The 13,961-nt window shown below is 38.0% G+C and overlaps 1 pseudogene across 4 annotated transcripts in view; it reads left to right on the top strand.

Annotated features, from left to right (window-relative positions):
- Positions 1-13,961, top strand: part of POLR1HASP (POLR1H antisense, pseudogene) — a 60,179-nt pseudogene that overhangs the window by 1,189 nt on the left and 45,029 nt on the right. For 2 of the 4 annotated variants that reach the window (NR_026751.2, NR_145416.1), the window contains exon 3: positions 1,811-1,886. The product of NR_026751.2 is annotated as a POLR1H antisense, pseudogene, transcript variant 1 (transcript). Of the gene's footprint in view, positions 1-1,268; positions 1,634-1,810; positions 1,887-2,283; positions 5,401-13,961 lie in introns of those variants that run through there. The other 2 variants (NR_145417.1, NR_145418.1) reach the window with 2 other exon arrangements.

Raw genomic sequence — 13,961 nt, 5'->3', positions numbered from 1 at the left:
ACTTATCTGTGTGTCTCCTTTGAAAATGGAACTTGAAATTCTACCCTCCTCAGTTTTCTGTTTTTAATTTGAAAAACAGCCAACATCCCCTGTGAATTGCAGTAAAGGAACAAAGCATTAAAAGGCATATCCTTTTCCCAACAAAAGCTCACAGTCTAATCAGTAAAGATTTATTGAGCAACTATGCCAGGTTTTGAGCTGAGGCTGAGCCTGCAAAGTTGAAATCTGTGTTCTCTGACCTCAAGGAACATGAATGAATAATTAGAATATAATAAAACTGTGCTAGTAGGTACAAAATGTGAGAGCCCAGAACATGCATATAAAGGAAACATATCTGTAAACTTCAAGGAAGACTGGGAAATGGCTTAATAAAAATAGATACAATGTTATGGCAGATATTTAAAAAAGATGCTCAGATATTATGTGTCAAGGATCATCAGCAATCAGCAAATCATTAATTTTGAGAACTTGGGATCACAGACTCTAATGTTAAGTATTGTGCTAGAAGCCATGTACAGAGAAGTAAAAGTAAGATGATCATACGTTTACAATCTCAAAATAAGCTTACGTAGACAAATAAGAATGTTCCTAAGAGGTCAGTGAGACCAAATATTTGATATCAGATCCTTTCCAACAATATAGAGGCATCATATTTGTAGATATAAATTACAGTTTTCATTCCTTATGAGCCTAAATTTCAGCATCAAAATGTTAAAAGTGATATGTGAATACAGATATCACAGTGTAAACCACGATTAATTTTCAAATGAGTTGTAGAATTAAAATATGTCAAGTATTTAGAGGAAGGGAAGATCACTGACAGAGTAGACTGGAAAGACTTTATAATCAGGAGCTTGACCTGTGAAGGACAGATAGATAGAATTTATTGAGAACTTACCAAGCTCTTTACATCTAATTCATATTTGTTCTTTATAACCCTGAGAGGCAGATTTTTGTCTTACATCTCCATTTTATAGATGAGAAAGCTGACAGAAGTTACTTGCCCTGAGTCACACACCTAGGAAGTGGTAGAATTAGATTTCAGATCTAGCTCTGTCAGACTGTAAAGACCATCCTTTGAACTCTAAATGGTATAAAAGACATACAGAGGAAATGCCAGGCATCCTCAGTGGCTTAAATACGACATCACAGTAAACTCAGGCTAGACCAGGGATGACACATAAAAGATGATAGTTTTCATTTGTGTTGCCATCAGCCTCCTCTATAAATAAACCCAGAGTAACCACAAATTGCCATCCTGAGGGGTTCAACAGGGAATAGTCTCATAATGGATTTAGAGTGAAGGATGATTGGCATTGTTAGTCAGGCAAGCAGAGGGCTGAGCAGTCAAATAACAGAATTTCAGAACAAAAGATTAGAGGGCAGAAATGCTGTATGTGCTGATAGAGTCAGAGAGGGCCCGGATCAAGAAACTGCAGGAAGAGAAAACTAGAAACCTAGAATCGTCTAGAAAACTAGAACCTACAATCGTCTCAGAACACAAAGGAGGCTTGAGGACTGAGCAGACTGACATAGATGTACTTGGACAACACCTCACCAAGGAGCATGTCTCTTCCCACTCACAATCCCCAATACGAGATTCACAGTGGTTCACGCTGAGTCCACAGGAAAAGTATGCTTGTTCATATGAAAGGAAAGATCCTCTTATTAAAAGAGCATTCATTATTTTCTACCATAGGAATGCAGTGGTTTCCCATGGGGGAAATGGCCCTGCTGTAGTCCTCCCTATTAGCAGATTTGTTCTGACACCTCCTACATTTGAATCTACCTTGCCTTTTTTATCTTCCAGATTGGCCTGGGGTACATCATCTAAAGATCCTAGGATTGCTGCAGGTCAGCAGTCTCCACTGGAAAAAAAGATCTTGGTAAGTAAATTATCTTCACATCATACAGTTTGGAACTACACAGAGAAGGAATCTTAGGTTTAAAATCCTTCTGCCCAAGTGACACATTCAGGTAGTATGTCTACACTGGCAAATGTTACCCAGCTATATCCACAGTTGCAAAACAAAGTATCATTTTTGGAAACTTCCAACACCATACATTTTTAAACCTAGTTACTGATTTGTGGTGGTGAGTACTTAATACTTTCAGAGCTCCCAGGCTCACCTGGGAGTGATGGGAATAAAATAACAACTAAGCTAAAGTAAAGAGCATGTAGCTTTTCCTGGTGTCATTAGGGAGGGTGGGCTTGGCTCCTGTTTAAATGTGTTCAAAGGAAAAAGATGATCACATTATAAATTTCTGACTTCACTTTGACAGAATCTAGGTGGTGTGCATACAACAGCAGCAAGACAGTTGATAATGCAGAAATATCAGGAGGAGTGTGAAATACTCTGTAGGGAGCAAGCTGTTTCTCTTGACTACTGGCTTGCCAAAGCAGAGTCTTATTATAATAAAATAATAGTGGAAATGATGAAAGAAGAGACAGGCAATGAAATCTAGAAAAAAATGGAGGAGAAAACAACCCAGAGCGTAGAAGGACTAAAACAGTACTGTTTGGTACCTGAGAGAGAGATGAAACACATAGAAAGGCACATACATCAAACAGGAAAGGCTGGAGAATTTAAGAACAAACCATTTAGACAAGTACTACAACCCCCCAATGAAACAAAATTACCAAAAATTATGCCAGAAGGGCATGGCATCCAGAACGCACAGAGAAGAAAGCAGGTAAATGAGAGGGAACAGATGCAGACTAAGGATCACCAGGAACGCATGATTCGAGGGAGAGAACTTGCAGAACAAAGACTCAAGGAGAGAATCTTGAGAAGAAGCCAGAGCCAGCTACTTACATATGAGAAGCATGAGAGAGTAAAAGAGATAAAGGAGTTTGAAAGAGTTATTGCGTATCTTCTTTTCCAACCATGCAGTAGAAGTCGGATTAAAGTGAGTATTCTTATGGATAAGTCTCAGAATGGAGAGAAGGTGAATACAATTGTGAAACCATATCAAAGAAAATTCTTGGCAATGCCACCCTTTTTAAGAAGTCAAATAGGAAAAATAAGAGATTAAAGTTTCAATGCTGTTATGATAAAATCATATCTCTTAAGTGAACCCTTTTTTTTTTCAAATGCTCGTTCTCTCCAGGGTTCAGTGAATATTCCCATTTGTATCAGATACAGATAGATAGTTCTGCACTTGAAAATTAGCTTAACTTTTTTAGTTGACTTGCATTTGTTCAAGTTGCATATCCTTTCTAGTGTTCAGTGTCCTCATCTTTAAAATGGCAATAATATTTGATGGCATTTATGGAAGGACTGTTTTTTTTGTGAAGTGTAGGTATGTATTAGTTGTTTCATAAATGTTAGTTTCCCCACTTGGAAAGACCGGGGTTGGGCAATGGTGGTGAATAAAGAATTGTTCTAATCTTCTTCTCTTATTCTCCCTGTTCCCAGCCCTCCAAGGTTATTTTGATGAGATTGCTATAGTTTAGTATATGGTCTTTAATATCATACCTTCATCAGATAACTACTAGCCAGCCCCTAAAAGTGTAACTTGCTCTGTACAATTTATTTGAATGAGAAACTTAATTTTGAGAGCCTCCTACATGCTAGGCATTATGTTAGTTACTGAAGGTGAATAAAGAGAAGTCTCTGCCCTTGAATAATTTTCAACTAATGGCATAGATCACTCTATAAACAGATAATGTAGTAAATAAAGGTTACAATAGAAAGGTACAGGGTGCTTTACAAAGGACGGATTCTAACCTGGCCCAGGTGAGCAGGGTGAAAAGGAGGAAGGTTAGGGAAGGGAGTATTATAGTCTGTCATGTTTCTTCCAGCTTTTTTTGTCACTTCCTATCACCCACTTAAGCAAGACCTTCCTAATGCTTGGATCCACTCAGGGATAATCAAACTCAGCCTTTCTCAAACTCATGTTTTTGGCGCTCATTGATAAATCAGAAAGCAAATTTATAAATTTAGTGAGAATTACAGTTGTCAAGCAGAATGAAATTTGTGTTTTCTAGTCAGTTTATTTTCTTCCCAGATACCAGAAAGTTGGGAAAGCAGGGGTTCAGAGTTGGTAAGCAGAGAAGCAAATAAATGGAAATAGATGCCCTCAGGAATATTATGCTTAAGTTGTGATAATTCTGATGCCCACCTTGCTTTACTAGCAGAACACCCTTTACCCTGGATACTGCTAGGTCAGCCACTGATACAAATGTTCTGTGTCTGTGCTCCTCAGTACAGTAGCCCTTGCTACACGTGGCTGTTGAGGCATTTAAAATGTGGCTGGTGCAGCTGTGGAATGGAATGTTTAATTGAATTTCATTTAAATTTAAATTGCCACATGTGGCAAGTGACTACCCTGTTGCACAGTGTAGCACTGGATAAACATAACTTCTGTGTTCTAGATTCCAGTCCCACCATTAGCTTTCTGTTTTTGACAGTGTTTGCTGGTATGATAGGTCACTGTTCATTTTACATTACTATCAGTTTAGTTTCCTTTGCATTTCAGAGGCTCCCTAATCCCTTAAAGAGATTTAAAAATCAATGTAGACCACTTCTGTGTGAAAATAAGATGACTGAATTTGCTTTGATTGGAATTAGGAACTGACCTCTCTTTGCTAGTTCTGGAATTTGGCCAGGATGCACATCAAAATCTCATTCCTACCCTCCTGATTTGCCTCATGGAAACTTCGTTGCTGTGTCTGTTCTCTGGTCCTCTATTGCTATGTCTCAGCTTTAGATTCTATGTTTTGCATAGAAATGGATCATCAGAATGCAACAGGCAGAAGACTTAGAAGTGCAAATCAGTAGGGTAATGACAAGCCCTTTGAGCTGAGTGGGACTGAAAAGTAACCTAACATATAACCTATTAGTAATTGTTTACCATGAAGGTTTTCAGTGCTGGACACATAAATTGCTGAGTTCAACTGCCCTCTTTCCCCTCCAAATCTAGCATAAAAGCAACTGGTGCTCTCAGGGCAATTTCACACCTAATACGGCTAAGAATAAAAGTCTATGTTTCAGGAACTCAGTTTGTCCAAACCTGCATCCATCATCTACCTCAAATTATATCCACCTTTTCATTTCTTTGCACTGTGTCTGCTTAAATCTTGAGTCACACTTAATGTTTTTTTTTTGGTCTTTTTTCTTTTTAATGTGAAATAGAATATACAATACACAAATGAAAATGTATATTTAGAAGAACAATAATAAATGTCCAGGTGCCCGTTGCTCAGACTGAGAAATGGAACATTACTACATCCCAGGAGCCTCGTATGCTCTCATTCATATCTCTCTCCCCTGCAGCCAGAGGCAACCACTATCCTGAATTTTGTATAACTGTCACCTAGCTTTTATAGATTTTACTGTCTGTGTATCCCTAACAGTTGCTTATTTATAGCCTTTATATAAATAGAATTATACTGTATATGACTGACTACTTTTGCTCATTATTATTTTTGGATTCATCCATGTTGATGTGTGACACTGTAGTTCATTTCCATGACATGAATATGCCACAACTTAATTATATATTCTGTTGATGTCATTTAGTTGTTTCCAGTTTTTGTTTTATTTTTCTTTTAAAAATGATACTTAGATAAACATTAACATGTTTAATCTTATGTTCTGGTGACTGTGTACTAGATATATGTATGATATATAAATTGTGGTACATTTATTTGACAGGCCTGATCTTGAAGCCTGTTAGATTTCTGTTCCTTTGTGGCATTATGCCTGTAAGCCTGTTCTGTAGAGTCTGGCACATGTTAGCCTCTTAATAGATATTTGTTGAAAGAAAGGACATTTGTTAACTGCTGGAGACAGGCCCAAAATACATAAATAGCTGATAACAGACCACTTTAGCTTTTTACTCATCTTGTCCAGGTACAATCATAGTCAACCTCTGTTTATGCTTATATTTCAGTTGAGGTACTAAAATATTTGTTTACTTAGTTGGTTTTCAGTGAGCTTCCAGTACAGGATTTGTTTCTCTTTCTGTCACTTTTCCCAAAACTTTCACTCCACTGCCTTCTAGAAAAGATCACCCACATGTCGTCTCCTCAAGGCACCTGCAGCACGAAAGTTTTATTTCTGAACAAAAGGGTCCCCAGAGAAGGAGACAAGGAGTCTCCTTTCAGTACGAGGTTGCTGGAGTCCCTAGAGGGTCAAAGGCTGTGTAATAACAGTTCCTTCTTGTCTGCTGGACAAAAGCTTCTGAGCCCTCAAGCACCCTGTGACTTAGTTCTGATAGAGTACTGAGTTTGGAAATGGCAGAGTGGGGACCCAAAACAAATCTTCCAATTCCAAATTCAGTTTTATCCACCTTTTCAAATAAGATTAAAAAATGTTAATGTCTGTTGATTTGTGTGTGTTGAACCACTCTTGTATCCCTGGGATGAATCCCAATTAATTGTGGTATATTTTTGATATGTTGTTGGATTCAGTTTGCTAAAATTTTGTTCAGGATTTTTGTGTATATTTTCACTAGGAAGATTGGCCTGTAATTTTCTTTTTTTTTTGTATTCTTCTCTGCTTTTGGTATCAGGGCAATGCAGGCTTCATAAAATGAGTTAAGAATAATTCCTTCCTCTTCAGTTTTTTTTAAATATTTTGAGAAGTATTGGTATTAATTTTTCTTTGTATGTATGGTAGAATTTGACAGGAAAGCCATCTGGTCCTGGGCTTTTCTTTATTGAGACACTTTTAATTACTGATTCAGTCTTATTACTCATTGTTGGTCTGTTCAAGTTTTCTATTTGTTCCTGGTGAAATGTCTACAAAAATTACAAAAATTAGCTGGGTGTGGTGGCATGTGCATGTAGTCCCAGCTACTTAGGGGGCTGAGGCAGGAGGATCGCTTGAACCTCAGGAGGTTAAGGCTGCAGTGAGCTGGTATTGCGCCACTGTGTTGCAGCCTGGGTGACAAAGTGAGACCCTATCTCAAAAATAAAAAAAATTCATATGGAACCACAAAAGAGCCCCATCCAATAGTTAAGCTATAGTAATAGCTTTGTAACTGTTATAGTAGAAACCAAATCATCATGGTACCGGCCTAAAACAGACACATAGACCAATGGAAAGAATAGAGAACCCAGAAATAATTTCATATACTTACAGCCAACTGACTTTCAACAAAGGCACCAAGAAAGGACACCCTTTTCAATAAATGGTGCTGGGAAAACTGGATATCCATATGCAGAAGATTGCAGCTAGGCTCATATCTCTTACCATATTAAAAAATCAACCAAAAATGGATTAAAGGCTTAAATGATAGATCCGAAACTATGAAACTACTAAAAGAGAATATAGGGGAAATGCTCAAGAACATTGGTCTAGGCAAAGATTTTATGGTTAAGACATCAAAAGCATAGGCAACAACAACAAAAAATAGGCAGGTGGGACTATATTAAACTAAAAATCTGCACAGCAAAGAAAACAACAGAGTGAAGAGACCAACTGTAGATGGGAACAATATTTTCAAATTATCCAACAGGGGACTAATATCCAGAGTGTACAAGGAACACAATTCAACAGTAAAAAAAAAAAAAAAATCCCCTTAAAAATGGTCAAGGGATCTGAATAGAAATTTCTTAAGAAATACAAATGGCCAACATGTATGTGAAAAAGATGCTCAACATCACTAATTATCAGGGAAATTTAAAGCAAACCACAATAATATATCATCTTACCCTAGCTAGAATAGCTATTATTAAAAAGACAAAAATGGTAGCTAGGATATAAAGACAAACTCTTACACACGGTTGGTGGGAAGGTGAATTAGTACAGCCACTATGGAAAACAGTATGGAGATTTCTTAGAAAACTGAAAATAGATCTGTGTGATCCAGCAATACCACCACTGGGTATTTATCCAAAGGTAAGGAAATCGATACATCAAAGGGATACTGGCACCCCCATGTTTACTGTGGTACTATTTACAATAGCAAAGACAGGGAATCAACCTAACTGTCCATCAATGGATGAATGGATTAAAAAGATACGGCATATATACACAATGGAATACTATTTAGCTATAAAAAGAATGGAATCTTGTCATTTCCACTAACATGGACAGAACTGGAGGTTCTGATATTAAATGAAATAAGCCAGGCACAGAAAGACAAATATTGCATGTTCTCACTCATGTGCGAGCTTTAAAAGGTTGATCTAATCGAGGTAAACAGCAGAAAGATAGTATCCAGAGGCTGGGAAGGGTGTGTGTGTGTGTGTGTGTGTGTTTGTGGGTGTGTGAGGGGGGTGATGAAGAGAGGTAGGTTAATGGGTACGAACGTACAGTCAGATAGAAGGAATAAGTTCTAGTGTTTGATAGCACAGTAGGGTGACTATAATTAACAACAATATATTGTGTATTTCAAAATAGCTAGAAGACTTGTAATGTTCCCAACACAGAGAAATAAATGCTTGAGGTGACGGATATCCTATGTACCCTAACTTCATTATTAGATACTATGTGTGTATCAAAATATCACATGTACCCCATAAATATGTGCAAATATTATGTACAAATAAAAAGTCACACTGTACAATTTTTATTTGTCAATTATACTTCAATAAATCTGGAAAAAAATAAAGTATGTATGCAATCAAAGTTTTAAAGTATATTCCCAAATATGTGCAACCATCACTGCATTCAATTTTAGAATATTATCATCGCCTGAAAAAGAAACCCCATGCCCTATAGCTATTACTCTCTTATTCCCCCTTCCCCATCACCCCAAACCCTAAGCAAGAGTTAATCTATGTCCTACCTGTATGGATTTGCCTATTTTGGAAAATTCATATGTAAATATAATCATATATGGTCTTTTGTGACTAGTTTCTTTCACTTAATGTTTCCAAGTGTCATTTATATTATAGCATGTATCAGTATTTCATTGCTTTTTATGGCCAAATAATACTGTATTCCATAGATGTATCACATTTGTTTATTTATCGGTTTATAGACATCTGGATTGTTTCTGTCTTTTGGCTAATACAAATAATGCATCTATGAATGTTCATTTACAAATTTTTGTGTGACACATTTTTATTTCTCTTGGACATATACCTAAGAATGGGTGAGTCGTATGGTATCTTCATTTTTAATCAGTTGAGCCACAGCCTGACTCCTTCCAAAGTGACTACATAATTACACATTCCTGCCAGCAGTGTCTGAGGGTTCTCATTCCTGCATATCCTTAACAATACTTATTATCTGATGTTTTGATTCTAGCCATTCTTTGGCTGGGAAGTGGTATCTCGTGTGTGTGTGTGTGTGTGTTTGTGCGCGCGTGCGTGTGTGTGTTTTAGACAGAGTCTCGCTCTGTTGCCCAGGCTGGAGTGCAGTGGTGTGGTCTCGGCTCACTGCAACCTCTGCCTCCCAGGTTCAAGCAATTCTCCTGCCTCAGCCTCCCAAGTAGCTGGGATTACAGGTACCTGCCACCATGCCCAGCTAATTTTTTCTATTTTTAGTAGAGATGGGGTTTCACCATGTTGGCCAGGCTGGTCTGGAACTCCTGACCTTGCGATCCACCCACCTTGGCCTCCCAAAGTGCTGGAATTACAGGTGTGAGCCACCATGCCCAGCCTTCACTGTGGTTTTAAATTGCATTTCCCTAATAATGTCGATCATCTTTTTTATGAACTTATTGGCTATTTGTATATCTTCTTTAGGGAAATGACTGTTCATATCTTTTGCTCATTCTATTTTTATTTATTTATTTAGAGACGGAGTCTTGCTCTGTCATCCAGGCTGGAGTGGAGTGGTGCGATCTTGGCTTACTGCAACCCCCGTCTCTTGGGTTCAAGCGATTCTTGTGTCCCAGCCTCCCAAGTAGCTGGGACTACAGGTGTGTGCCACCACACCCAGCTAATTTTGTATTTTTAGTGGAGGCAGGGTTTTACCATGTTGGTGAGGCTGATCTCGAACTCCTGACCTCAAGTGATCCACCCACTTCAGCCTCCCAAAGTGCTGAGATTACAGGCGTGAGCCACTGCGCTCGGACTCCTTTGCTCATTTTAAAATTGGGATTATGTGTGTTTTGCAATTAAGTTGTAGGAGATTGTTATATATTCTAGAAACATCTCTTGTTAAATGTATGATTTGCAAATCTTTTCTCCTTTCCTGTGGGTTTTTTTCACTTTTAAAAAAATTCTTAATTTTTAAAACTATTTTAATTTTTTGATCTAAATGTTTACTGTTAATTAGTAAATAATACACATGGGGTACAATGTGATGTTTTGATATATGTATATATTGTGGATCACTTTCTTGATAGTGTCCTTTGAAGCATAAACATTTTAATTTTGATGACATCTAATTTTTCTCAATATTATCTAATATCTTTTGTTTGTGCTTTGGCATAATATCTAAGAATCCATTGTCCAACCTGAGTTCATAAATATATATATATATATATATATATATATATATTTGAGACGGAGTCTCACTCTGTTGCCCAGGCTGGAGTGGAGTGGTGTGATCTCGGCTCACTGCAACCTCTGCCTCCTGGGTTCAAGCCATTCTCCTGCCTCAGCCTTCTGAGTAGCTGGGATTATAGGTGTGCACCACCACACCCGGCTAATTTTTATATTTTTAGTAGAGACGGAGTTTCACCATGTTGGTCAGGCTGGTCTCAAACTCCTGACCTTGTGATCCACCTGCCTCGGCCTCCCAAAGTGCTGGGATTACAGGCATGAGCCACCGCACCCGGCCAGTTCATAAAGATTTATCACCTAGGTTTTCCTCCAAGAATTTTGTAATTTCACCACTAACATTTAGATCTTTCTTCCATTTTGAGCTTATTTTTGTATATAGTGTGAAGTAAAGGCCTGTATTAGTTTCTTAGACCTTGTGTAACACATTGCCAAGATTTGATGGCTTAAAACAGCAAACATGTATTCTGTCACAGTTCTGGAGGCCAGAAGTTTGAAATCCAGGTGTTGGCAGGATTAGTTTCTTCTGGAGGCTCTGGGGGAAAGTTCATTCCATGATTCTTTCCTAACTTCTGGTAGCTGTTGGTAGTTGTTGCTCCATTGGCTTGGAGATACATCACTGAAATCTTTGCCTTCATCTTCACATGGCATTCTTGCCTGTGTCTCTTCTCTGTTTATGTCATATCTCCTTCTCTTTTATTAAGACACCAGTCACTAGATTTAGGTCCCACCCTAAATCCAGGATGATCTTTTCTTGGGAACCTGAACTTAATTTCATATACAAAGACACCATTTCTAAATAAGTTCACGTTCACAGGTACTGGTGGTCAGGTCTTAGACAAACCTTTCGGAGTACACACTTCAACCACCATAAGGTCCACTCCATCATTTTGTATGTGGCTATCAAGTTTCCCCAGTACCATTTGTTGAAAAGACTGTGCTTTCCCCCGTTGAATGTGCTCAGCACCCTTGCTGAAAATCAGTTGACAGTAGACACATGGTTTTATTTCTGAATTTCAGTTCTATTCTATTGATCTATGTCTATCTTATGCAAGTACCACACTGTCTTGATTACCATTACTTTATGCGATGTTTTGAAACTGGAAAGAATGAGTTCTACTTTGTTCTTTTCTTCCTTCTTTTTATTTTTTAGAGACAGTTTCTTACCCTGTAACCCACGCTGTAGTGCAGTGGCATAATCATGGCTCACTGCAGCCTCAACCTTCTAGGCTAAAGCAATCCCCCTGCCTCAGCCTCCCAAGTAGCTGGGATGACAGGTGTGTACCACCATGCCCCGCTAATTTTTATTTTTTGTAGAGACAGGATCTTGCTGTGTTGCCCAGGCTGGTCTTGAACTTCTGGCCTCAAGCAATCCTCCTGCCTCGGCCTCCCAAAGTGCTGCGATTGATTACAGGCATGAGCCACTGTGCCTGGCCCTTTGTTCTTTTTTTCAAGATTGTTTGCATAGTCTGCGTCCCTTTAATTTCTTTATAAATTTACAATTAGTTTGCAAATTTCTACGAAGAAGTCATTTAGGAATCTGATAGGGATTGTGCTGAATCTATCAGTTTGGAAATATAATCATTGAGTTATATTAAATCTAATCCATGAACTTTACCCCATTTATTTAGATTTTTAATTTCTTTCATTGATGTTTGAGTTGCACTTCTTTTGTTAAATTTGCTTCTAAGTATTTTGTTCCTTTAAAGCTATTACAAATGGAATTGTTTTCTTAATTTCATTTCTGGATTTGTCATTGCAAGGGTTTAGAAATACAATTGATTTTTGTATACTGGTGTTATATCCTTTATCCTTGCTGAAGTTAGTAGTTCTAATAGCTCTTTAATGGATCATTTAGCATTTTTTTATATAAAAGATCATGTCATCTGTGAATATAGTTTTACTTCTTTCTTTCCAATCTGAATATACTTTATTGCTTTTTTCTTGTCTAATTATCTTAGCTAGAACCTTTGGTAATGTTGAATAGACATAGTGGGAGTGGATATTCTTGTTTTAATTGCTGATCTTAGGAGGAAAGCAACCAGTCTTTCACCATTAAATATTGATGTGGTTTGGATTTGTGTACCCGCCCAAATCTTATGTCAAACTGTAGTCCCCAGTGTTGGAGGAAGGGTGTGGTGGGAGGTGATTGGGTCATGGGGGTGGACTTCCCCCTTGCTGTTCTCATGATAGTGAATTTTCGTTGAGATTTTGTAGTGAGATTTGGCTTTTTAAACATGTGTGCCACCTCCCCCTTCTCTCTTCTTCCTGCTTCAGCCATGTAAGATGTACTAACTTCCCATTCACCTTCCACCATTATTGTGTTTCCTGAGGCCTCCCCAGGAGCAGAAACCTGTATAGCCTGCAGAACCTTTAGCCAATTAAACCTCTTTTCTTTATAAATTATCCAGTTTCATGTATTTCTTTAAAGCAATGCATAAATGGACTAATACGAGTATGATGTTAGCTGTAGCTTTTTTATAGATGCCCTTTATCCGGCTGAGAAAGTTCCTTTCAATTCCCAGTTTGTTGACTCTTTTTTTTTTAAAGTAACATGGTCTCAACACATCGCCCAAGATGCCCTCGAACTTCTGGCCTCAAGTGATTCTCTTTCCTCAGTCTCCTTGAGTAGCTGGGACTATAGACACATGCCAATGTGCCCACCTGTTGACTGTTTCTATTATGAAAGAGTATCGAATTTGATCAAAACCTTTTTCTGCATCTATTGAGATAATTGTGGGTTTTTATTCTATTGATATAATATATTACATTAATTGATTTTTGGATATTAAACCCATCTTGCATTCCTAGGATAAATCTCACTTTGTCATGGTGTATAATTATTTTTGTACATTGCTGGGTTGTTTGCTAGTATTTTCTTGAAGATTTTCACATCTATATTCATGAATAGCGATCTGTAGTTTTTTTGTGATTGTTTTGTCTGCTTTTGGTACCAGCCTTATAGAACATACCTTATAGAATATGTTGGGCAGTGTTCCTTTCTCCTTTTTGGGAGAGTTTGTGAAGAAATGGTTTGATATCAGCTATTCATAGATCAGAGTTTGAGTAGCATGGATACTTTTTTAGACTTTTATGGATGCTCTAGACTGAATGTTTGTGTCTCCAATCCCCCACCCAAATTCCTATGTTTAAAACTTAATCCCCAGTGTGATGATACTTAGAGGTGGGGCCTTTTGGAGGTGATTAGGTTATGAATGCAGAGCCCCCATGAATGGGATCACTGCCTTTATCAGAAAGACCCCAGGCAGTTCTCTTCACCTTTCTGCCATGTGAGGCCACTTGGAGAAGATATACGTTTATGAAACAGGAAAGGGGCCTTCATCAGACATGAAATTAACCAACACCTTGCTCTTGGACTTACCAGCCTCCATAACTGTGAGAAATACTTTTATGTTGTTTATAAGCCACCCAGTCTAAGGTATTCTGTTATAGCAGCCTGAGTGGACTAAGACAGTGGGGGTGTGTGGTGTTATAGATTGGTTTTTGGCCACAGTTCCTGGTTCCTAGCTCCTATATTCCCTTGTTTCGGTCT

The sequence above is a fragment of the Homo sapiens genome, chromosome 6 (assembly GCF_000001405.40).
Source record: "Homo sapiens chromosome 6, GRCh38.p14 Primary Assembly".
Lineage (NCBI taxonomy): Eukaryota > Metazoa > Chordata > Mammalia > Primates > Hominidae > Homo > Homo sapiens.
This window is presented reverse-complemented; position numbering and strand designations above follow the sequence as displayed.